The sequence below is a fragment of the Homo sapiens genome, chromosome 3 (genome assembly GCF_000001405.40).
Source record: "Homo sapiens chromosome 3, GRCh38.p14 Primary Assembly".
Classification (NCBI taxonomy): Eukaryota; Metazoa; Chordata; class Mammalia; order Primates; family Hominidae; genus Homo; species Homo sapiens.
This window is the reverse complement of record NC_000003.12, coordinates 184,865,372-184,891,983: the sequence shown is the minus strand read 5'-3', so window position 1 is coordinate 184,891,983 and position 26,612 is coordinate 184,865,372. Positions and strand designations below refer to the sequence as shown.

At 36.5% G+C, this 26,612-nt stretch overlaps 1 protein-coding gene across 25 annotated transcripts in view, besides 1 other annotated feature; it reads right to left on the bottom strand.

Annotated features, from left to right (window-relative positions):
• The window catches only part of VPS8 (VPS8 subunit of CORVET complex), a 240,449-nt gene that overhangs the window by 160,631 nt on the left and 53,206 nt on the right, over positions 1–26,612 (bottom strand). For 21 of the 25 annotated variants that reach the window (NR_146113.2, XM_047447824.1, XM_024453426.2 and 18 more), the window contains 6 exons: positions 25,034–25,108; positions 23,925–23,960; positions 22,948–23,038; positions 22,456–22,502; positions 21,179–21,268; positions 5,828–5,874 (listed from right to left, as the gene is read on the bottom strand). Coding sequence is in view for 23 of the 25 variants with exons in the window: in XM_047447824.1 (XP_047303780.1) it covers positions 5,828–5,874; positions 21,179–21,268; positions 22,456–22,502; positions 22,948–23,038; positions 23,925–23,960; positions 25,034–25,108 (386 nt within the window). In the remaining 2 variants the exon portion in view is untranslated. Of the gene's footprint in view, positions 1–5,827; positions 6,028–9,550; positions 9,577–21,178; positions 21,285–22,455; positions 22,503–22,947; positions 23,041–23,924; positions 23,961–25,033; positions 25,109–26,612 lie in introns of those variants that run through there. The other 4 variants (NM_001349297.2, XM_011512599.3, XM_006713556.5 and 1 more) reach the window with 4 other exon arrangements.
• Positions 7,121–7,170: an enhancer, noted in NCBI's record as "active region_20916". NCBI's record gives its function as "activates an Ori minimal core promoter by ATAC-STARR-seq in GM12878 lymphoblastoid cells {active_cell/tissue: GM12878}" and the evidence as "EXISTENCE:reporter gene assay evidence [ECO:0000049][PMID:35858748]".

Sequence of the window (26,612 nt, the reverse complement as noted above, 5' to 3'; positions counted from 1 at the left end):
ATCATTTATAACTTCAAAAAGAGGACAACTGTTAAATTTACTTTGTACATTATCGATTTCATAATTTTTTAAATGTGAAGAGCTGCTTTGGTTATAAGAAATTACAAATTTAGAAGTATGTGAAGGGGAACAAGGGCATCAATCCTAACCCTTGCCAATCCATACTAAATATATAACCAGAACCAAACAAGTAAATTCCCACCAAATACAAGTGGTATTTAATATATCCAAAGTTGATGTGGGCTGGTTTCCTTATTTATAAAAGCAAAAGCAAAATTCAAATGAATTTTAACAAATTATGTTCAAAATGCTCTATTTTTTGATACAAGTACCACAGTTCGTAAAGATTTCCTTTAAAAAGGCATGTGGTGATACTTACACAGCTGTGAATACACTAAAAACTACTGAATTGTATACTTTAAAAGGGTGAATTTTATGGTATGTGAATTATATCTCAATATAGCTATTATAAAATTAAAAACGCCTTTTTTCCCCCAGCTTTGATATTAGGTTGGTACAAAAGTAATTGCAGTTTTTGCCATTACTTTTAATGATGAAATTTGCAATTACTTTTGCACCACCCTAATAAAATTTTAAACATCCAGTTCCTCAACAAGTCTTGATAATTAAGATCTTTTTGTTTCTCAAACAATAGTCCTGATGTTGAACAACATGAGTGAACAAATTAAAAGACTACTTCAAGTTCACTTTGGATTTAACAGAAACATTTTTGGTTCAGATGCATACATAACACAAGCCATTGGAACGATGGCTTCTTAACAACTGTGGATATTCCTTACAGTGATATAAACTCAAAGTCGTCGGTATCATCCATATAGAGCACCCATTTTGCTTTTTTTTAAAATAACTGCTTTATTGCTATATAATTCACATATAATCACATAACCCTATTTTTAAACAACGTTCAAAATTATAATTATGGTTTACATAAACTCTGGATCTATTTTCAAAGTAAAACTGACATTAGGGCTACCCATATATATGCTAACATATAGCCTATATTTTGCATAGGTAAAATGACAAATCAGAAGTATTCACAAAAAGCCTTAAGACATTGTGTCTTTTGTCTAATACTGAAAAAAAAATACACAAAACCAAATTGAAATGAAATTGTGGAACAGAGACCAAATTATGAAAATAAAGTATAAGTCTTCAAAAACAGAATTCCTGTCATTTCTGATATTAAGTAATTTACAAAAGACTCTAATGCCAAATTTTAACCAAGAAAGATGTCCATAATACACTGAGTAGTATGCCCTACAGAGAAAAACAAATGTGATTACTGTGACATAGTAAAAATGATTTTACATTATAAAAGTGTTATTAAATATAAATAGGAATACATATATCCACTAGCTTAATTAATATTACTGATGGGTACTGAATTATCTGAGTTATGAAACTATGAGGTAACAGTGATTATAGTGTAATAATGGTTGTGCCACTAAGTTAAAATTAATTTCAGAGCATGTATTATGTTTATAATTTCACCCACCTAAGAAACAATATAATATGTGAAAATAAAAGGACTGCCTATAAAAACAACATACTCAATCAGAAGACATTAATATAAAAGGAATCTGGGGAACAGGATTGAGTGAGTAATGAATCTAGAAGTGGAAGAAGTTACCTGAAATTGGCTAGCTGAGTACTAGATGACATTTTGTAAGACTGTGTTTGTATTATGCAAAATCTGAGCATTCCTTAAAGCAATGTTAATGTCACAGATATTTTGCTAATTTGGAAATGCAGAAGAGAAGACCTTAGACATAAATAGGACCAAATGTCAAAAAGGATAGTATAAAGAGAGGATCCAGTTTAAGGAGAAAAAATACTATGCTGGGATGAAGCTACTTACATCTGACAATCCTCCGCTACAATTTAGCATAGGGAACTGACCATTTTTAACCTTATTATCTATGGCAACTCTAAGAAAAAAATTTTTAAAACTCTACCATTTAAGTGGTTAGACTGAACTATTTAATTAAACATAGAATTCTTGTATCTAATAAATCTTTAGTCATTGCATGTTTGAAATAGAAGGGAAGTGAAAGATGGCCTAGATGCAAACAATTAAAGTTGATCAAACGGCTTATTCAATCTTTCCTTCTAAGTTCAGGCCCATATATAGAAGAATCTTAACATTCTGATGAAAAAGAAAAGCCAGTATGGTGAGAAGCAAACAAGCACAACACAGACCTAGAACAAAAGAGGGAGCGTTTGACCCAATGCCTAGTTTCACAGCCCCGACCTTTCTTACATCTCTAGGAATGCTGCCCTCCCGCTTTTTCTCCTATTAGAATAGAACCCAAAGAGTAGAATTAGGGAAAGAGACAAGGAGGGAAAGAAAGACAATAAGAACACACATGCTGGAACTTCTCCCAAGCAGAGGCAGGATCTAGTACAATCTAGTCTTCGGTGTTAGAAAACAGAATTGAGAGAAAGGGAAGCCATCCATACGCTCTTTGTACTATGGTCCAGGGAAAATGTCCATGGCCTTGACCTAAGAGTGTGTATGTAAGAGCAGGAGGAGGAAGAAAGAAAAGAGGTATGAAAAGCACCAGGAAGAGCTGAACTGAGGAAGGATTCTCTTCCTCTTGGAGGTGAGGAGTATATACTATGACTGCTGTTCCTGTTATTTCTGAGATCTCCAACAACAAATATTGTATTTGTTTCTGACACAATACAGAGAAAGCATGCTAAGGAATCAGGAAAAATTATAGGAAAGAAGTTGACAAAAATAAAGAAATAATAAATGGATCCTAATTTGGTGAAAATCTAGACCAGATTTTATCTTCTATGTTATATGCTGTGGTTCAATACAGAAATTATTGCATTCTCAGACAGTCAATAGGTGAAATAAATGTTAGAGAATATTTCCTTTCCAAATCATATAAAAAAGAAAAGCTTATCTCCAGAATATTTTAGGGAATAACAAAATATTCTGGAAAAACATAATCAATTTTTTTCCCTATATAATCTTTCATCTTACAACTGTTAGGCCCACTTCAACTTTATGTCACTGTGACAGTATTCTAGTATTCAAGATAATGATCACAAGTCACCCTGCAAACCAGGAGGCAGAATTACTTCATCAGTTCAACCATCAGGTATTGGATAGCTATATTGTGTCAGGTATCATTCTAGGTAGAAATAGTCCATTTTATAAAAATAAGCCGTTTTACTCTAAATAAAATTTAGTCCTTCAGGCACTTCACTTCATCTCATTTATAAATTATCTCAATTTGAATATCAGAGTTGATTCCAGTACTTATTAGTACTAGAAATACCTCTACACCTCCACTTCCTCATCTGAAAATGAGGATAACATTTTCTCTCTTTACACTGTATTTATGAGGGTTAAGTAGAATATGTAAAACTGATTCATAACCTATTAAGGCTGCTTTAAAAATACAGGACATATAACAAGGAATTGAGTGTGAAAGTGAGGTAAAGAGAAAACTAATTTAGAAAAAGATAGGGTCAGGTTAGCAGACATATCATGGCGCTTTGCTTTCTAGGAAACAATGATTAACTACACAATCACTGTCCATCAGCTAAAAGTCAACTAGCTATTCAAGAGACACAAAGGTATTTGTGGCCCTAACACCGGAAAGAAATTTCTCCCGTAGGCCCTCATAAAGCAGACCATGTGTAATATAAAGTAATGTTCTTGGCCGGGTGCGGCGGCTCATGCCTGTAATCCCAGCACTCTGAGAGGCTGAGGCGGGTGGATCATGAAGGTCAGGAGATCCAGACCATCCTGGCTAACACGGTGAAACCCTGTCTCTACTAAAAATACAAAAAATTAGCCGGGCATGGTGGCGGGCGCCTGTAGTCCCAGCTACCTGGGAGGCTGAGGCAGGAGAATGGCGTGAACCCAGGAGGCAGAGCTTGCAGTGAGCTGAGATCACGCCACTGCACTCCAGCCTGGGCGACAGAGCGAGATTCTGTCTCCAAAAAAAAAAAAAAAAGTAATGTTCTCAACAAGATCCCTACTGTAAACACGATGTGTTTTGCTAATTACGTAACACTAGAGTTAAAACACTGGAATAAATTTGAGCCCCAAGTAAGCAGAACTTACTATATAGCTATCTATGACTTCATCAAAGGTCTGACATAGCAAATTACTGCCCTCTTGACAATCTTTACTGATGCTTCAAAGTATGACCCAACCTTTTCTGAATCAGGCTACTAGAATTTACATAAATTCATGAACCAAGTCATGCTGCATAGGGTTTTGGGAGCATCTACATTAAATCTTCACATTTGTTCTCTATCACTTACAAAGTGGTACAAGCTAGTGGTTAAAACCAAGAACACAGGAGCTAGACTCATGCATTTGAATCCCACCTTTGCCACCAAAAGCTGTGGGACTGAGTTTTGGCAAGTAACTTAATCACTTTCTGGCTTTGGCACATCTTATATAAAATGTGGATGATAATAATCCCTACCTCACTGTTATAAAAATAAATTGCTACAAAAATTAGATAAATTAATGTAAAGCGTTTAGAACAATACCTGGTTATCATTATTAGTGTGGAAAAAAAAAAGAAAAAAAAAACCCTGTGCATTAGCACAGGTTGGTTGGTTTATTTTTTATTTTATTTATTCTTGAGATAGGATCTTGCTCTGTCACCCAGGCTGGAGTACAGTGGTGCAATCATGGCTTGCTGCAGCCTTGACTTCCTGCGCTCAAACGATCCTCCCACCTCAGCCTCCTGAGTAGCTGAGACCACAAGCACATGCTACTATGCCCAACTAATTTTTTAAAAATTTACTTGTAGAGACAAGGTCTCCCTATATTACCCAGGCTGGTCTCAAACTCCTGGGCTCAAGGAATCCTCCCACCTCGGCCTCCCACAGTGCTGGGATCACAGGGGTAAGCCAGCACGTCCAGCCAGGTTGGCTAGTTTATATAGTTACAATTTAAACTAACAAAGCCTAATCAAGAGTTTATTTATACTGATTTATTTTAAACAAACAAACAAAAAATAGTACTGCATAAGCACAATGAATCTAGCCTTTTTTGAATAGTATAAAATACTATGTTCTAGTGATGGTTCATAAAAGCATATATACCAGGCCAGGCATGGTGGCTCACGCCTGTACTCCCAGCACTTCAGGAGGCTGAGGCGGGTGGATCACAAAGTCAGGAGTTTGAGACCAGCCTGGCCAACATGGTGAAACCCCGTCTCTATTAAAGATACAAAAAATTAGCCGGGTGTGGCAGTGCATGCCTGTAATACCAGCTACTAGGGAGGCTGAGGCAGGAGAATCTCTTGAACCCGGGAGGCGGAGGTTGCAGTGAGCTGAGATCGCACCATTGCACTCCAGCCTGGGTGACAGGGCGAGATTCCGTCTCAAAAAAAAAAAAGTATATATACCAAAAAAAGAAGAATGTGTGTGTGTGTGTATACATATGTGTGTGTGTATATGTGTATGTGTGTGTGTATATATATATGTGTGTGTATATATGCGTGTGTGTGTGTATATATATATACATATAATGAATCATACACTTTTTACTTTTAAAACCCCTAAGTAGTATTGCTCTTTTGCTAGTTACGTTCTTTATCTCCAATATCCTGCCACACAGACAAATAAATGATATATCCATAGCATCTGTCTTAGGGAAGTTAATTTTATTAGGTAAATGAACTGAAAACTGTTAAAGAATCAAATTTCTATAAATTAATATTTTTAAATCTATTCAGTCAAATTCATAGAATTCTTAGCAATGGCTTATACATAAGAGGCTACCTGGGTTCAAAATAATTGAATGTGACAGGCAACGCATACTCACTTTCGCTGCAGCAGAAGGCAGTAATCAACTATGACAGGCACCATATCCTGTAGAGGAACCATAAAGAAAGCATCAGCCCCACAACCCTGTCCAGTGGTCCACTGATAATGACAGGTCTGCTTAAGATGCTTTTAGATTGTTAGGAGGATATAACTTCATATCATGCTTTTGGTAAGCAATTTGGCATTATGTGTCAAAGTCTGAAAAACAGAACATTTTGACCTAGTAATTCTATTTCTGGAAATGTACCCTAAATATGTTTAAGAATAAAAATTATTTTAATGCATTAAGGTGTTCACTGCATCTTTCTAACAGAGGGAGCAGAAGAAGGAGGGGAAGGGAAAATGGGAAAGAAAAAAAAAGAAATATGAATTACATTCAACAACATGGGAAAATAAGTAAATTTTGTTATTTAAGTAAAACACTACATATATCTTACAAGCTTATCAAGAGTTTACAATATCATTAAAACAAATACTAGGTGAAAATATGCATTCGTCTCACAGATCTGTAAAGAAAACTCGCAAAAAAAAGAAAACCATAAGCAAATAAATCAAATTGATAACGGGATACAGTTGGTCCTGCTGGTGGCTCAGGTGATTTAGGTTGCCCATATTTTGTCACAATCCTCCAAACCTGCTATTGTAACGTTGATTTAACTTCTCAGTTTCATAATATTTTTATTGCTTTAAATTCATCATGTACACACACGTATCAAGTAAATGATAATCCATAATTTTGACCCTTTTCAATGGAAAGAGTCTGAGGGAGAAACAGTAGCTTATTATGACTGGAAATTGTCAAGTAACCAAGCATCAAACTTCGGCAGTATTCTTTCCTTTTCTGCTGACTACAGGGAAATGGTTTCCCTTTAAAAATCCTGGAAGGGTTATGTTCTGGGCAGAAATCTCATCAGGAGGGAGAAGGCACTACGTGAAAAAGAGCTCCACATACTAACACCTGTCTGATAAAAAGGTCAAAACTAAGGAACTCTTATTATTTGAGAGAGAGGTGACTAAAGAAGGACCTACAATCCTAAAAGGATTATAGGGCTATCCCTGATCCATCCTGCTTCCTTTACTTATGAATATTATTCATGACTACATGTAGATTTGATTCTTCAAAAACAGGAGGTAAAATGATAGATTTGAAAAGTGTTAGAGCTACAGCAAATCTCAACCCTGACTGAGAATACAGTGGGCTAGGTAATGGGGAGTTGGTGGCAGGAGGACTTCCCTAGAAATGCTAGAGAAAATAAACATCTTTTAAAATACATAGCTGAGCTCCTAAGATAGTAAGGGCAATACCCAGGTCCAAAAGTGAAAAGGGAACTGAAAACCAAAGCAGTAAGTTCCAAGCTGTTACCAATCCTATCGTGTAGGTTTGCTGGTCACAGAAGAGCTTGGGTTTTAATGCCAGAAAGAAGCTGAGGTCTCAAACCCTTTTAACAGAGGGAAATGAAGCAGAGGACCTGCCTAAAACTGGGATTCTTAAAAAGCCACATCCTCAATGAAAGGAAATTAGAAAAAAAAAATCTGCCTGTTAGCATAGGAAGATGACAAGGAAGTTTGTCTGTCTTAGCCTGGGCTCAGAGGGGGTAAATTTATACTCACCAAGAATCTGTAATCAAGACCCTGTCTACAGGTAGAGCTGGGATTTGAATTTATACTATCTCCTTAGTATGAGAACAACTGAGCCAAGAGGTTCACATAAAAAGTGATCCTGAAAATACTATGCAGCCATAAAAAAGGATGAGTTCATGTCCTTTGCAGGGACATGGATGAAGCTGGAAACCATCATTCTGAGCAAACTATCACAAGGACAGAAAACCAAACACCGCATGTTCTCACTCATAGGTGGGAACTGAACAATGAGAACACTTGGACACAGGGCGCGGAACACCACACACCAGGGTCTGTCGGCGGGTCGGGGGCTGGGGGAGGGATAGCATTGGGAGATGTACCTAATGTAAATGACGAGCTGATGGGTGTAGCACACCAACATGGCACATGTATACATATGTAACAAACCTGCACGTTGTGCACATGTACCCTAGAACTTAAAGTATAAAAAAAAGTGATCCTGAAAAAGGATACTCCTCAGATACTTGAAAGAAGCAAGTTCAAAAACTCCCCAGAGATCACCCTAAACACAGGCAAAATAGCTACTGATAAAGTCCTACTGAATATGTGCTCAAAATAAAAAATTTGAAAACACTTCATTAAATAATGTACCATACAAGAATGTCTGGAGGAACTATAAAGGGCAGTAGTATACCCCAAGACTTCAAATAATATAATTATCAGGTAGAAACTATATTTTAAAGTATATTTAAAATAATTAAGGGCATAAAATAAGGAATTAAGTGCCTGGCCTGGTACTAAGTACTATGGATATACTGTAGGGCTTAATGGAGTGTGAAATCATCAGATTCATACATTTAGACAGATCACTATGGTGACTGTAGGGTGGGGGCATCTGAAAAACCAAGACTGGAAACCAAGGCTATTACAGTCATCAAAGAAAAAAAATGGTGGACTAAACTAGAGTACTGACAACAGGTATAAAGAACCGTGGACAAAATTATTTATAACTATAGGGTTTGGTGACAGATTGATCATGGTTTGGAAGGCATTGAGAGGAGTCTATAATTCCTAGGTTTCTGGTTTAAGTGATGGTTGAATGAAGAGGTCACAAGATGACATAAGAAATGTGGGAAGAGGTGTTAGAAGGAAGAAGTTAAGTACAATCTGGTCCACAGCAGATCTGAGGAACACCTTCACTTTGATGTTGAATAACAAGAAATTGAGTATAGTAATCTGAAACATCTGGGTTAGAATTACAGATTTCTAAGTTATCAGAGGAAACAATGAATAGAAATAAAATTGTCCAAGGACAATAGAGTGAGATGAAAAGCAGTCACAAAGGGACTACATTTTGAGGAAGACCAATATTTATGAAATGGTCAGAGGATAGAAACAAACTGATTCAGGAAAAGTCACTGGGGTTTAAAATCAGAAGGGCACACAGTCACAGATATCTACAGGATATAGGCTTTCAAGAAGGAAGAACTAATCATTGCTATTTAATACAGAATTGAGAATGAACAAGATCTGAAAAATATTTATTGCGTTTAGCAATTTGGATATAATTGGTGTTTTTAGTTAAGGTGTTTTATCTTCCTGATTAGAACTGACAAACTTCTAGCAAGACTGACAAAGAATAAGAGAAAACATCAGGAATGAAGCAGAGGATATCATTATAGACATTGACAACATCAAAAGGATAATAAGGGAATACTATGAAAATTCTACACACATAAATTTGACAATTTACATGAAGTGCACCAATTTCTCAAAAAACACAACTATCAAAACTCACTTAACATGAAACAGCTCATTTGAATACCCCTATAGTTATTAAGGAAATTGAATTCATAACTTAAAATCCCCCAAAAATAAATCTCCATGTTTAGATGGTTTCACTAGAGAATTGTACCAAACATTTAAAAAGTATGAAAACAAATCCTATACAATCCCTTCCACAAAACAGAAAAGGAGCAAACATTTCTCAATTCATTTTGTTAAGTTAGTATTACCCTGATACAAAAACCTGAAAAGCCATTACAAAAAAAACTACAGACCAATGTTCTTCATAAAGATGTAAAAGTCCTTCACAAAATATTAGGAATGATAATTCACAATTACATAAAAAGAATTATACCTCATGACCAAGTGAGGTTTATTCCAGGATGCAAGACTGGTTCAATATTCAAAAACCAATCATTACGATATGCCATGCCAATAGCCTAAAGAAAAAAAATCACATGATCATATTAATTACATAGAAAAAGCAACTGACAAAATTCAATATCCATTCATGAAAACCCTCTTAGAAAAACTGTAATAGAGGGGAACTTCCTCAACTTGATAAGAAGTAACTACAAAAAATCTACAGCTAATATTATACTTCATAGTGAAAAATCAAATGTTTTTACCCTAAGACTGGGAACAAGGCAAGGATGTCTGCTCTCACCTCTCTTCAATACAATGCTGAAGTTTTAGCCTATGCAATAGGCAAGAAAAGGAAAAAAATAGCACACAGATTGGGAAAGAAAAAAAAAAACTGTCTCTGTTGGCAGATGACATGAGTGTCCACATAGAATATCCCAAGGAATCTACAAAAAGCATTCTAGAATTAATAAATGAGTTCTACAAGATTGCAGAATATAAAATAAACATTCCATATGCCATTACTGAACATATGAATACCAAAATTAGAAATTCAATACCATTTAAAACTGCTAAGAAAAAAAGAAATATTAGGCGTAAATCTAAAAAACCATGTATAGCACCTGTATACTAAAAATTACAAAAAAAGTGAAATAAATGGAAAAACTAGGAAACTCAGCATAGTAAAAATATCAGTTCTCCTCAAACTGATGTGTTTAATGTAATTTATATCAAAATTCCCACAAGATTTTTCATAGATATAGACGAGATTATTCTAAAATTTATATGGAGAGTCAAAGAAATTGGAATAGTTGAAGCAATTTTCATAAAGGAGGAGGAATCGGTCTACCCAATTTCAAGACTTACACAGCTACAGTTATCAAGATTATGTGGTACTGGCAGTGGGATAGGCACACGGATCAATGGAACAAAATAGAAAACCTAGAATTAGATTCACTATATAAGCCCAGCTGATTTTTGACAAAGCTGGTAAAGCAACTGAGTGGAGGAAAGAAGGAAAGTATTGCCTTTTCAACAAATAATGCTGCAATTAGGTATCTATACACACACACAAAGGAACTTCGACCTCAGTCTCATATCTTATGTAAAAATTAACTCAAAATAGATCACACATTTAAGTTACACACAAAACTGTTAAAACTTCCAGAAAAAAACATAGGAGAAAATCTTCAGGATCTTAGGCTAGGCAAAGAGTTCTGAGACTTGATTTCAAAAGCACAATCATACAAGGAAAAGCTGATAAATTGGATTTCATCACAATTAAAACCTTTGGTTTGCAAAAGATCCTGTTAAGAAGGATGAAAAGAAAGCTACAAACTGGGAGAACCAAGTCCAATAACGGACTAGTGCCTTGAATATATTAAAACCCTAAAAATTCAACAGTATGATGAGAAACAATCCAGTTAGAAGAGAGGCAAAACCCATGCAGAAACATTTCACAAAAGAAGATATACATGTGGCAAATAAACACATGAAAAGATGTTTAACATCATTAGTCATTAGGGAAATGCAAATTAAAGCCACAATGAGATACCATTATGCACCTACCAGAATAGCTAAAATAAAACAGTGACTTCATCAAATGCTGGATGTAGACTAGAAACTGGATCACTTACACACTGCTAGGGGAATGCGAAATGGTACTGGCATTCTGGAAAACTATTTGGCAGTTTCTTTTAAAATTAAACATTCAACTATCATATGATCCAACAATTGTAAACCTGGACATTTCTCCTAGAGAAAAGAAGACATGTTCACACAGCAACATATACAGAAATGTTTAGAGCCACTTTATTTTTAACAGCCCCAAACTGGAAACAACCCAGATATTCTTCAACCGGTAAAATTGTTAATCAAACTGTGGCTCATCCATACTATGGAATACTACCCAGCAATAAAATGCAACCAACTACTGATATGTGCAACAACCTGGGTGAATCACTAAGGAATTATTATGCTGAGTTTAAAGAGTCAGTCCCAAAAGGTTACACACTCTATGATTCCATTTATATAGCATTATTGAAATTATAATTTATAGAGATGAGGAACAGACTACTGGGTATCAGAGGTTAAGGAGGGGGTGGGAGCAGAAGAGAAGTGGGTGTGGCTATAAAAGGGTAAAATGAGGGATCCATGTGGTGATGAAAATGTTCTGTATCTTTACCTTATCAATATCAATATCCTGGTTATGCGACTGTACCATAGTTTCATGAGATGTTCTCTTATTGGGGAAAATTGGTTTAAGGGTATGGGATCACTTTGCATTATTTCTTGCAACTGAGTATGAATTTACAAATATCACAAAATCACTAATTTTAAAAAAACCAAATACACATACTTTTTATGCCTGCCACTAACTGTTCCTAACTCAATTAAGGCAAAACCATCCAAATTAACACTTTCAATCTGGCTTCTTAAAGAAGCCAGGTCTTTATCAATTTAGAACATTTAAAACCATAAGTAAAACAGAGTATTAGTTAAAGCCAAATCTATTTCCATATTTTAAGCTTTGCTTCCCAGAATCAGATTACAGAGAGACAAACTATATTGTCCAGTGGATAATCCCTGATGGCAATCTCTTAGATGCCTGAAAATGAGCTAAGTGGGATCAGTAGCTCTCCATCTCCCAACTGGCAAGGGCTACACAAAGACTCAACTTCCTACAGAATCCTCACAGAGTTGCCTTGCTCCACAGAGCTGGGCAGCTGGCATTTCCCGGACTAGTAAACAACCACCTGGAGTAGCTGGTGCCCAAGCTCAGATAATATCCCTCTAAACTCATTTGGAAGGCTCCTCTCATGAGAGCCCTGAAAGAAAGCAGAATGGGAAAGAACAAGTCCTTCTCTTGCAGCAAAGCCCTCAGTTCATACAGCCAGACCTGGTCTACATATGCCTCTCTACAGGATGCTGACAGATTAAGGGCTTTCGAGATAGACACTGTGAGCAATACCTGCTTTAAGAATATTAAGAATATTCTACTCAGTCTCAAAAGCTTGCAGGATGCAAGAAATCACTGAATTTGGGGTCTCCAAAATTAAAAAAAAGAAAACAAGTAACTATTTCTCTAATCTCTTCTTCAATGTATGGGCTATAATGGGCCAAAAAAGACTGCTTCTCTTGTCGGATATTCATGTATATTTAAGATGTATTAAAGAAGGCAATGTGGATATACAAATAAAAAACTGAGCTGACAGATAACCTAAATTTGAGCCTGTCAATGGTTTGAGTGACTGAATAAATCATTTTATTGCATTGTGACTATCTTACCATCTGTGAAGTGAAGACATAATCTCTGGTTTTCCCTATTTCATGGGATGATTTGAAAAGAAATAACAGATGCAGATTCCTTTGCTTTTTGGAGCGATGGTACTAATTCTCTTAATTTATATTCTAAAAGACTATCAGATAAGGAAAACTTGACTGTGTGAAAATGATTCAAAATTATATATACATACATATGTATACACGCATACACCAAAACAGATAAACATATCTATCTACACACAGATATACACACACAGATAAATCTCCACAGGCTACCAGAGCTAGGCAGCTGGTATCCCCAGGATTGGTATACAAACATCCCAAACAGCAATATAGATTAGATTATCTCTCTGCATGTATATGTGTGTATGTATTTTTCTTTTCTTCTTTCAGGTATGATGATAAAATAATCTAGGAAAGACCTGACTCCTCAGAACCAGCACTTTAATCAAGCCTCAGGGATAGGGCAATGTGCTAGACATCAACACTCTTTTCCTCTCCTCAAATCTTCTCAGAGGAGGTATGGGTTAGACAAGGAAAGCTCCTACTGCCTCGCTCTGTGTTTGGCTTGTAGTCACTGTCCACTCTTTGACATTACCTCTTAATGCAAAAATATATGCCTACAGCTGCTACAAAAATAGCCTTGAATTATCTGACCCTCATAGAAATGTGAAATGAAGCTGGAAGGAGAGCTTAGTAACGATTAACATAAGGCTTCATTAAGATCTTTTAGGTTAGGCGCAGTGGCTCACACCTGTAATCCCGGCACTTTAGGAGGCCGAGGCGGGTGGATCATGAGGTCAGAAGTTTGAGACCAGCCTGGCCAACATGGCGAAACCCCATCTCCACTAAAAGTACAAAAATTAGCTGGGTGTGGTGGCGGGCACCTGTAATCCCAGCTGCTCAGGAGGCTGAGGCAGGAAAATAGCTTGAACCCGGGAGGCAGAGGTTGCAGTGAGCCGAGATCATGCCACTGCACTCCAATCTGGAGGACAAGAGTGAGACTCCATCTCAAAAAAAAAAAGGGTCTTTTAAAATTATATTATTTTTCAAATCCTTTAAGCTTGATTCACATTACAGCATTAAAATGCCTCATTATTTATACCTCTACGTTGTTTCAAAAACAAATAAAAACACATATATTAAGCATAGCAAAATAAAATAACCCAAAATACTGTTTCCACAGTTAACTGATTAGCAGTGGTTTCTTAGTTTGAAAACACTGCTAGCAACTCAAATCAGTCAATTGTTCAGGTATATTTACCATGGTTATGCTAAAATTCATTTGTATTTTCTTTTTCATATATTTCAATATCCTCCCAAAACTCATAAATTACTTAGTCCTCTCTGTTTCAAAGTGAGTTACATAACAACACATTGGTCTGAGATTATCAAAGAATAAACTGTGGGATGAAACATAGTACAGTACAGGGTCGAGGCTCCTGAGCCAGGCAGCCTGGGTGTGTATCTATGGTGGTTCTATTCACCGGTTCAATGATATTGGGCAAGTTACTCAACCCCTTTGTGTGTCTATTTCCTCTGGAAAATGGAGGTAAATAATAAGCACTCCTCAAGTACGTTATAAGGACTAAATAAGATAGCCATCAGGCATACAGCACACCACATGAGCCATCATTATGACATATGTGTTGCAAATACTAAGTCCTACATTTGGTTCTTAGCTCAAACCTCTTAAATTGAAAGCATGCTTTCAAAGCAAGCTCTACAACATAAGTTCATATATTTTTAAAAATTCTCTCAACAACTATTTATCAAGGACACTGAACCAGATGCTGGGCATACGGCAATGACAAAAAACAGACATGTTCCTAAACTTACACAGGTCCCTAAACATACATAGGCTAGCTGCAGAAAACTGACATTGAATGAGTGACTTCAGTGCATAGTATTTTAGAAAGAAATGGATCTGAGTTAATCTGGGGGACAATTACACTGAGACCTGAAAATAAACAGAGCTAGTTGAGCTACAAAGAAATGAGAAAGGATTTTTTATGCAGAGAGAACACTGTGCACAAAGGCTCTGGGTAAAGAGAGAACAGGGATGTTAAGACACTGGAAAGAACTCTAGTATAACAGCAATACAGAGAATTAGGAGCAGTTAGGCAAGCGTAGACCATGCAGAGCCTTAGAAAATGTTAGGGAATTTAGTCTCTACCTCAGAAACAATAGGAAGTCCTTAAAATATTTTAAAATTAGGAAAGCATCATATCTAGATTTGATATACATTTCTCTTTGGCTGCTGTGTAGAAAATGAAATGAAGTACAGTAAGAATGTGTACAAAGAGATCGATTTGGAGAATTCTATAATATACCAAGAGGGAAATGATGGGCACTTAGACTAGGATAGTGGCAGAATTAACAGCATGGTGGAAACAGATGAGAGAAACTGTCAGGAGGCAGAATAGCCAGGAACAAGTAAAAGACAAGAATCACCCAATTTGCATTAGGTGCATGGTGGATCCACTCACTAACACAGGAATCCTCAGAAAAGGCTTTGTGAGGAAACAGAGTCTGAGGTACCTACAAAACATCCAAGCAGAAATGTAAATGGGCAACTTACTCTATAGACCTCAGAATTCAGAAGAGCAATCTAGGTTGTTAACACTGGTTAGATAGCCATGTGCCTATATCACCTAGGGAAGAATGTAAAGCAGTGATTTGTAAACTTTAATGTGCTTAAGGGACATCTTGAAAGCTGACTACAAATCCTGGTCACCAATCCCAGAGAGTCTGATTCAGTAGGCCTGGGAAATTAAAAAAAAAAAAGCATTTTTAACAAATATCTTCAAATGATTTTGAAGTAAATGGTACACAGACATCTTGACAAACATTGATATAAAAATAGAAGGGTATTGTGAAGAATCCTAACATTTCTTGGTTAAGTAAAGAAAAGGAAGAAGAATAAACAAAGAGAATCAATAAGCAGTCAGAGAGGTAGGGAAAAAACTGGAATGCATGATATCAGGGAAGCCAAAAATGGACAGACTATTTCAAGAAGTCTTCATGTGCTGAATGCTGCTGAGGACCAGTAAGATGAGAAATAAAAGGGTCCACAGAATTTATAGACATGGAATAGGTTAAGGGATGAGAAGGAGGTAAGGAAATGGAGACAACTCTTTTTTTTTTTTTTGAGACAGGGTCTTGCTCTGTCACCCAGGTTGGAGTGCAGTGCCGTGATCTTGGCTCAGTGCAACCTCAACCTCCCGGGCTCAAGTGAACCTCCCACCTCAGCCTCCAGAGTAGCTGGGACTATAGCTGTGCACCACCATTCCCAGCTAATTTTTTTTTTTTTTTTTTGTAGAGACAAGGTTTCACTATGTTGCCAAGGCTGTCTCAAACTCCTGAGCTCAAGTGATCCACCCGCCTCAGCCTCCCAAAATGCTGAGATTGTAGGTGTGAGCCATCATCCCTGGCCAGAGACAGCTCTTGTAAGATGTCTGGCTCTATAAAGAATGGGTGAACAAGAAAGCATAGGATATTAGAGACGGCGTGAGGCAAACAAAAGAATTTGTTTGCTGCTTGACTTAGTTTTAGGGTGGGAAACACTTGAACATATATAAACGCATATGAGGAAAGCCAGAAGAAAAGGCAAGTCTCAAGATGTATGAGACAGAAAACACTGTAATTCCTTTTTATCCTACCATAATAATTATGATACAAATAAATTATAATTATAGGTTGAAATCTTTTCTCAGATAAATAAAAGCCACAACCTGTCCAAAATGTGACAAGATCCAAAAGTTATTTTCTATAACTAAGACAGGACAAATATTGATTGATCTTTGGAGAAAAGCAAAAATAGTGAATAGCCTTACATATTCTGACTCTAAGGAAAAGGTGAGGTTCCTCACCAAGGGTAAAGATTAAAATTGAGGCAGCAGGCAGGAGGTGCCACCTGCTGGTAAAACACAAATTCTCAGTATTTTGACTGTGACAGAGATCAGTCTTAATAGGAATTTCAACTAACCGAATTAGAGGTTACTTATGTCTCCAATAATAGCTTCTTGAGACAGATACAGAATCTGAGACCTTCCCACTGAGCAAAAAAAAAAAAAAAAAAAAAGTTTTAAAAACACTTCCATCAGTTGGTCATCCTGCCTTTATCTGAATACATTCCATAATAAGAGATGCATAAATCCAAGAGCTGTTACATCATAAGTAGGTCATTTTAAACTGAAATACATCTCCTGATTTCCACCCACTATATACTAGGCCTTCCCTCTGGAGCAATACGGCTAATCCCATAGGACAGCCTTCTACCATCTCTAGGCAGGGATGTCTCCACTTACTTTCTCCTCAGATTAAACAACCCAGTATTTTTTTTAACTGTTGTTTTTAAAACCTTCCACCATCTCAGTTGTGGGATGTGGCTGAGTTTATCAACAGCCTACAAAATGCCTTAGCAGTTTTATTTCAAACAGGCAGCCCAGTAGTACCAGTACTTTCCTGTATCTGAGTCTTAACACACAATTGGCTCATACTAAGTTTATGGTCAACTAAAACCCTGTCCACCTAGATCTTCCCAATCCAGTACTCACGTAATTTGATTATTTCAATCTAATGAATCTAAGTCTTGATGTTAATCTTCATTAAATTTCAACTCATGATGATTTTGATTGCACTTTCTTGTCAAGATCACTTTGAACCTTGATTCTTGGCGCTACCTAGATTTGACAGGCCAGTCACTAAATCTTCACCCAAATCAATGATAAAAACTTGGGTATGAAAGAGTCCTAGGATGTAATTAATACTAAGCCACCAAAGAATATTTTTGGGTAGAAATATTTATCTAGCTGCAAATCTATTTACTATTTACTAATCTATTCCAGCCACAAAGATAATGGAAAAATTAGGCAAATGCTTTAATGAAATCAATTATGTTACGTCACAGGCATTCCAGGAATATACTATCTTTATATTCCTTTCAAAAAGGTAATTATATGAGTTTAACATGGTTGTTTTGAGATGAATTCAAGGAAAACCTTCACAATTCACACTGGGGATGTCAGCAGATAGTCTCCAAAGTCCACTCTACTTAAAAAAAAAAAACACTTTAAAAGTCAACCTATATAATTATTTTATGATTAAATATGATTAAACAAAACAACGGATTTGTGGCTGACGGTGCATGCACTTCACCTATCCTAATGCACTGAAGGTCACGTTTTCCAGAGAAAACTGTCCTCCTGAATGGAATAAATTGTGTCTCCCTGTATATACTCCACACTTAATCAAGAATGCCTTATTTGAAAATTGACGCAAAGTTACTTGCAAATTATTCATGTTGGCCCAGATTGTTTCAACAGTATCATGGGTTATAATTCTACTGGGTCTTGAGAGTTGAACAATCATAATGATATTACACATTACATATGGTCGGCTTCAGTTTTTTAATACACTTATCTGGACTTTTCCACTTTAAAACCATTCTCTGTGGTCATGAAAATGGAGTCAAAATGAGGAGCATTGTTCTGTGGTATAGTGTGGCAGTCTGGATGTAAACCCTGAAGCCCACTGCTTGAATTCAAATTCTAGCTCTCTCATTTATTAGCTTTGTGACCTGGAACAAATAATTTAACCTCTCTGTGCCTCGGCATCATTTACAAATGTGAATAGTAACAGTAGCCACCTTACAGAGTTATGATAAGAATTAAATGAGTTAATAAATATGCATAAAGGGTCTGTAACAGTGTCTGCCACACAGTTAAGTATTAAACAGTTTAGATGCTTGCTGTAATTCTCATTCTTGGTGATTTATTAACATCACCCCTTCTCACTCATCTTCTCCCTGTGCTTGCTCTTAAAATAACAGTATAATACAATGATTAGCTAAGAACTGGGCTTTGAAGTCAGAAAGACCTGGATATGAGTCCCATCTCCACCATTTACTGCAATATTACCTTGGAACTTCACTTCACTCCTCTAAGCCTGTTTCCTCATCTATAAAATGGGGATTAAAAATGACACCTACTGCCTTAGGTTGTTTTGAGAATAAAAATACATGTCACATACTTTACATAGTATCTGGCACATCGTATGTGCTCAGTAAATCTTTGTTAAAAATCCCTATTTTGTACTCCACAGCATTGTGGTAGGCACAGTCTGGACCATATCATTCTCCTTTCTGACAGTCTTACAAGTTCATGATACTTCTGGTATGTATCTTTAGTTATATGCCTTTCTCCATATTTATAGATGTTCTGTGATTTGCAGATAGAACCTTCTTTCAACATTACTTTCTCCTTGAATGGTTGAAATTTTAGAATTTCCTGTTCCTTGTGAACCCATTCTTTTTTTGGAGCCTGTAGCCATGTGATTGTGCCCATATTTTTTTCTGAGATATTTGCTTTCTGAAATAGAGGACTCATGCTATGTATATTTTTCATCATTATTATGATTGTTAAAATAAAGTGATAATTTTTCTCTCAAGGGTCTATCTCTTCTACTTCCCCAATCATTAGTAAAAATTAAATCCAGAGAAATAGTCCCCTCCATTGTTTCCTTCACCTCCTATGAGACTAATCACTGAAAAATCAAAAATTTTATCAGATACTCTTACCAACAGAATGAGACTTCTAACAGGAAGCTAGATGGTTACAGAGCACATTACTACTAACATCTGTTAGTAGTAATGCATCTCTGTACGTTCTGCAGTCAGCATCAGAAACCACCATCTACAGGAATGCATCAGAAACCACCATCTACAGTTCCCGTATCTGAGATTCTTTACTATTTCTCCATCAGAACGTCACCTTTGTTCCTTTCATCTTTTAGAAAGAAGCTCTCTACCACGTTTTCCCCCAACACTGTGGTTTCTATATTCTCCACACACACATACACACTCATTCCATTCACCCCTCCTAGCTTTTTCTACTAGATGATTTTTTTCAACAAAGTATACCTTCCAAAGGCCAGAGTTCCTACAACCTCTTGGTGATAGGTATATTCTTGTTACAAATATTAAGTTTTCTATCTATACTGCATTGGTATACACAAGTACTTATATATAAAGTATTGTTTCCAAACAGTTTTGTTCCCAAATGCTTTCTTTCTACCATATGTCTTCTTCCTAAGTTATTTATTTTTATAACTTTATCTAGGCTTATTTCTCCTTCTCTACTGATAAATTTAATAAGCATCCAGCCAAACAGAGTAATAACAGTTACTCTACCAGAAGCTCACTAGCATGGCATTGAACAGCACAGTTCAGGAAGCCAAATGCTTCTCTGATACCAGCCAACTCTTAACTGCCATATCTATTCTTGTCTTCCAATGTTACAAGCATCAAATAGAATATGAAAAGATAGGACCTGTGCCTACTCTTTAGAACTTCAAAATCCCTAGATTTCTTCTAAATATGTCCATTAATGTAAACCAAAAAAACCCATTATTTTGACTAGACTACAAACTTTAAGATAGTAAAGATCATGTAAATTTTACTATTGCCCAGTGCCAAGTACATATCAGACCACGGGACGCACACTTTAGCCAAATCCTGCCCATAGCCTGTTTCTGTATTGTTCACAGCTAAGAATGGACTTTACAATTTTAAGGGGTTGCTTAAAAAATCAAAAAACAAAAGAAAGGAAGAAAAAGATGTGACAGAGACCACTGTAGCCTGCAAAGCCTAAACTCTGCTATCTGAGTCTTTTTAGAAAAAGTCTGCTGATCCCTGTATTGGACACTCAAATATTTGTTAAAAGAGGAGGTAGGCAGAGGGAAGGGAGTAGTAGGAATGGGGAACAGCAATTTGCAACAAATATAACTGGAGAGCACTGCAGAAAGTAAAACCTGCATAATAAATACATACACGTCTACATTGTTCTTTGGCTTTCATTTTCATTAAGTTCCAAGATAAACTAAAGGTCTTTCATTAGCATATTTTATAGATCATATTTTATATATATATATATATTTGTGATTGATCTATTATTCTTAAGTCATAGGTGCTCCTAGGAGAACTAAATTTAAACCTTGGCAGTACTAAATAACCTGGTTAACATAAATATTAGACGAGCAGGATGTCAGCCACTATAAGGTATCAGTTTACAGCAAAGGATCTTCACACGTATATCCTTTCCTTCCACACGCCACTAAGCAGCTAAGCGCTAAGTAACACTCCACAACGTTTTACTCATTTATACCCATTACTTAAAAATATAATCATTTAGAATGTTCTACAAGCCCTGAAATAAAGTTTTGAATACTAAAAAAATGTTTAACCAAAAATGAAAGTCACATTCTCAAGTAACATAAAAGAGGAGTATTAGACCTATCCAGAGCATCGTCTACTGGAAGCACATGCAATGTGTACCTGAAAATGCTGCTCCATCACTTGGATTTTTCCTTGGTCTGGGCACTTTTTCAGAGCTCGATCTGCATAATGGAATAGGATTTCTACCATCTGTAAGGAAAACAGCCTGGCATAGACATTAAAATATATCTCTAAAGTTTTTCAATATGTATGTGGCTCTCCTAAATAATACATAATTAGAATTTGTTATTAAAATTTAACTGAAAATTTTAGTGGCTTTATTTACCAACTTTTTAAAACTCTAGCCTCATTTCTTCCAGTCTCAGGGCTAGTACTAATTTGCTAATCTTTCTTAAGAAATATCTCCATGTTCTAGACCTCAGTGGCATCTATACTGCTCAGGAAATGAAACATTCAAGTTCTTCAGTAATCCTCGCTGTAGGTGTTTCCCTAAAGAGCACAGATGAGCAAATCATTCGGAGTCTAAGGAGTAACCAATTTCTATCCAGGTTTTCCACAAATGTTTATACTAATTTGGAATATAATTTTTACCAATGCATTTACACAACAAAAGGGAGGGAATCCTATAGTCAATTAATTCAGCCCAGTCTAGAGTAGGAACAGAAGGTCAATATTAAATATTAGCATCAATTATATTGATGCTAATTAATAATAACATTAAAACATTAATCCTCTCTGCTAGTTCTGGGCAACACAAACATTTGCACATACACTAGTTCTCATAATTACTAGTAAGTTTATAAAAACTAACAAATGTCAATTTTCTGTGGGCTATTACTTGGTTCAGAAATAATCCAGATTCCCAGGTTTTCTTCCTCCTCCTTCCTGCTGTCTTTTGGCTATGTACTTTATTATCTTCATAAAAGAGTGAGCAAGGGAAAAAAGAAAAGGTGATTAAGAAGGAATTTTAAAAGTATTCAAGATGACACAGGGAATTATAACCTGACTGTTTTTTTAGATACAGGTCTCACTCTGTTGCCCAGGCTGGAGTGCAGTGCCGCAATCATAGCTCACTGTAGCCTCAAACTCCTAGGCTCAAGTGATCCTCTGGCCTCGCCTCCCAAGTAGCTAGGACTACAGGTGCACACCACCATACCTGGCTAATCTTTCTATTTTTTTTTAGAGACGGGGTCTTGCTATGTTGCCCATGCTAGTCTTGAACCCCTGACCCCAAGTGTGTGTCTGTGTGTGTGTGTGTTTTTTAATACACTCTCTTCTAGATTGTAGCCATTTATCTACTCATGCCCAAAGATACTGGCAAATGACAAAAGCAAATCTGCACTGTATTCTAGTAAAGACCCTCTTAAAATACTCACCCGGTCTGCAACAATAGCCTTTCGCTTACTGGCATCCCCTGATAATCCTGCAGAGAAGGAAAATCCAACAAAAAAACAAAAGTTAGTCCACATCTTTAGGAGTGAAACTATGTCTGGTTTCATATTTATAAGATGTGAAACAACAGGTATAATTGTAACAATTCTTAGCTATCAAAATGTTGGATAATACACCATAATAGGAACACCTCAAATCTACTGGACCGGATAGCATATCAATGTACTTCTCTTTCATTCCAATAGTAATTTCCTTACAAAATAATTTTAAAAGCGACATTTTAATTTCTATACCCTCTATTTGTCACATTATTTGTCACATTAACCTTCTTAACTGAAAGTCTATAAGGTTTAATTAGCATCCTGTTTATAAACACTTCGACACTCAGCTAAAAGTGTCCTATGAGTGGTTAGTACTAACCATTCCCTCTACTCCAGGAGAACCACGTCTACTACACTGGAATTCTGCCTACTCACCCACTACTGCTTTTGCTTTTCCTTCATGGAAAGACCACGCAAGAGCCAACGCTTCTGTAAGACAATCTTGTTTCAGGAGATGATCCACTCTCTAAAACGGAAAAATGAGAGAAACCAGGCCCCTTTGTCTGACCAGTCACCAGTCAGAATTCCTATTCCACCTAAAATCCTTCCAGAAGTTGCTGCTTAGTGGCTAAAATTATTTTAATAATTATGTGAATATCTTGTTTCAAAGAAAAATAATATCTTCAAGCACTAGATAGTATAATGACTATATATGCTAGTATAGAGAGCCACGGGGCCTAAATATGAAAAGGGGAAATAGCTGGAATGCCATTGTAGCAGAAATGGCTAGTTGTTTATCACAACATTGATTTCCTCCTCCTTGGTAGTAACAAACCCCAAGCTTATTTGAGACAGCAATATACCAGCTGAAGGATATTTCTAAGACTACCTTGTAGCCACTGGGAACAATGTGACTGAGCTCTGGCTAACGATAAGTGGAAGTGTTGTCTGGTATTTCTGGGATGTCATCTTAAGAGGTAGGAGACAGCCTTTATTTTTCTTTCTTCCTTCCTAAAATGTGGTAACAGCTGGAGCTCTAGCAACCATACTGAATTATAAAATGGCCCTGAGACCAGAATTCAAAGACAAACATGGTGGAACAGGACAGCACGCTTAAGCTTATGGAATTCCTACAAGAGCTGCGGACCACCTAGCTCCAGGTGCTTTTACATGACAGAGAAATCTTATTTAAGCCACTATTATTTTGAATTTTCTAATATATGTAGACAAACCTAATTCTAACTTATACTGTCAGTTCTAGCAAATCAAGTACCTAACAGCTATAATGGTTTTCTTGTACACTTCTGAAATTAAGAAGCTTACCAAATAATCTTCTTCTGAAAAGTCAAAACAGAAATGTTAAGAAGCTACCAATTCAGTAACTCTGACATGTGAAATTACTTGGAACTCACCTCTCTCCAGCTCCTCAGCATCATCACATAAACAGACTGGAAAGTAAAGAGATGGAAATTAAAATGATCACCCTTAACAGACTTCTTTGGGAGATACATTTGTCCTAGTCCCACATCTCATTTGATATCCCTTTAAGTAAAACATTTCATACTACAGTTAGAAGTATATCTTAGAATTTACTAATGGGTCTTCAAGAACGCTTTTCTTTTTTTTGAGACAGAGTCTCGCTCTGTTGCCCAGGCTGGAGTGCAGCAGCGGGATCTTGGCTTACTGCAACCTCCACCTCCGGGGTTCAAATGATTCTCATTCCTCAGCTTCTCGAGTAGCTGAGATTACAGGCACCTGCCACCACAACTGGCTAATTTTTGTATTTTTACTAGAGACAAGGTTTTGCCATGTTGGCCAGGCTGGTCTTGAACTCTTAGCCTCATGTGATCTGCCCGCCAAGACCTTCCAAAGTGCTGGGATTACAGGTGTGAGGCAACGCATCTGGCCTAGAACTCACATTAAAGAGTAAGTCTATTTAAAGGTCTACAGTCCAAGAAGGAGTTAATTCCATGGACAAGAAGCAAGGAAAGCCCAAGCTCATTTCCCTCTACTGACTTGGCAATATTTTGGTTAAATTTTAATAATGAAGAAATGTTTCTCCATGTTTTTTAAAAAGCACAGGAACAAACTGAGATAAATTGAGGTACAGAAAGTTCCTATTCCAACAATTCTATTCTAAGTCAAATACCTCAATACATTTTAATCAGCATCCTAAGCTGATCTAAGCTAACAGCCATCTTAAGTACATGACAAATATCCATGATTAGGTAGCTGCCTGGTCATAAAAACATAAACGTGAAGGAAGCTTACAAAAGCACATCTCTGAATCAAGAAAATAAGCATCCTATTAGCCAGCACCTAAACAAAAGTAAAGAATATGTCTAAAAGTAGAGGAAAAAAATAATTAACTAAAAATCATGCCTACCTAACCACAAAGGGTTTAGGATAATTGCTGACCAATATTCACTTTGCAATATACTGCCCTCTTTACCAGCAATCTCCTTCAGCCTCAACTACCCTGATACATACAAATACCAACTCACAGAGTAAAAGAGCTTACTTTTGTCCCCAAATAAAAGATCTGACCACCATAGCTACTGATGGATTGATAACAAGCCTTCTCTCCAACCAAAGCCTGGAAGAAAAACATACATACAAAAAAGGTAAAAAAATTCCTTTGTATTTAATATATTTTTTAACATTTCATCACTATTAATGACTTATTAGTTACACGTCTTTTTTAGTGATTATAGTTTACAATGTGTAACTTATCTCAGTCTACATTTAAATAATATTTGGCATATACTGTAAGAACCTTGCAATGATGTACTTTCATCTCCTACATCCCAGCGCTACATACTATTTTTGTTATATATATTGCTTCTATAGATCATAAACTTCACAACACATTATTTTTGTTTTAAACAGTCAATTGCTTTTGTTAAACAACAGTACTGAGATATAACACACACCATAAAATTCACTCATTAGGCACAGAATTCAATGATTTTTTAGTAAATGTACAGTTGTTCAGCCATTATCAAAATCCATTTTGAGAACATTATCATCACTCTGCAAAGATCCTTGTACCCACCTGTAGTCACTCCCATTCCCACCTCCAAACCCAGGTAACCACTAATGTACATCTGTCTCTATAAATTACATTTGCCTTTTCTGGACATTTTATATGAATAGAATTAAACAAAATGTGCTCTTATTGCATGTCTTCTTTTACTTAGTATGTTTAAGATTCATCCATGTTGTAGCCAAGTATCAGCTGTCATACTTTTTACTGTGGAACAGTATTCTATTAAATGGCTATGCCACATTTTGTACATCCCTTTACCAGTTAGTGAATATGTAGATTGTTTTCACTCTTCGGTTATTAACAATAATACTGCTATGTGTGTTCATATACAAGTTTTTATATAAGCGTGTGTTTTCAACTCTTTTGGAAACACACCTAGGAGTAGAACTTCTGAGTCAGATTGGTAATTCAATGTTTAACTTTTTTTTTTTTTTTAAGATGGAGTCTCACTCTGTCCCCCAGGCTGGAGTCCAGTGGCACCATCTCGGCTCACTGCAACCTCTGCCTCCTGGGTTCAAGCGATTCTCCTGCCTCCACCTCCCGAGTAGCTGGGATTACAGGTGCCTAGCACCAAGTCTAGCTAATTTTTGTATTTTTAGTAGAAACAGGGTTTCACTACGTTGGCCAGGCTGGTCTCGAACTCCTGACCTCAGGTGATCCTCCCGCCTCGGCCTCCCAAAGTGCTGGGATTACAGGCAAGAGCCACCACGCCTGGCCTCAATGTTTACCTTTTAATTAAGTGCCAAACTATCTTCCACAGCATTTGCGCCATTTTAGTTTCCCACCATCAATGTATGAGGCTTCCAATATCGCCACATCCTTGCCAACACTTGTTATTCTTTTTTTTATGATAGCCTTCCCAGTGGGTGTGAAGCAGTATCTCATTATGATTTTGATTTGCATTTCCCTAATACCTAATGATGTTGAGCAGCTCTTTAAGTGCTCACTGTCCACTTCTAAATCTTTACAGATCACTGTTGACTGTCTGATGAGAAATGGGTTCTCATAATTATTGCTCCTCTGCATTTAATGTGTCTTTTTTTCCCCACTG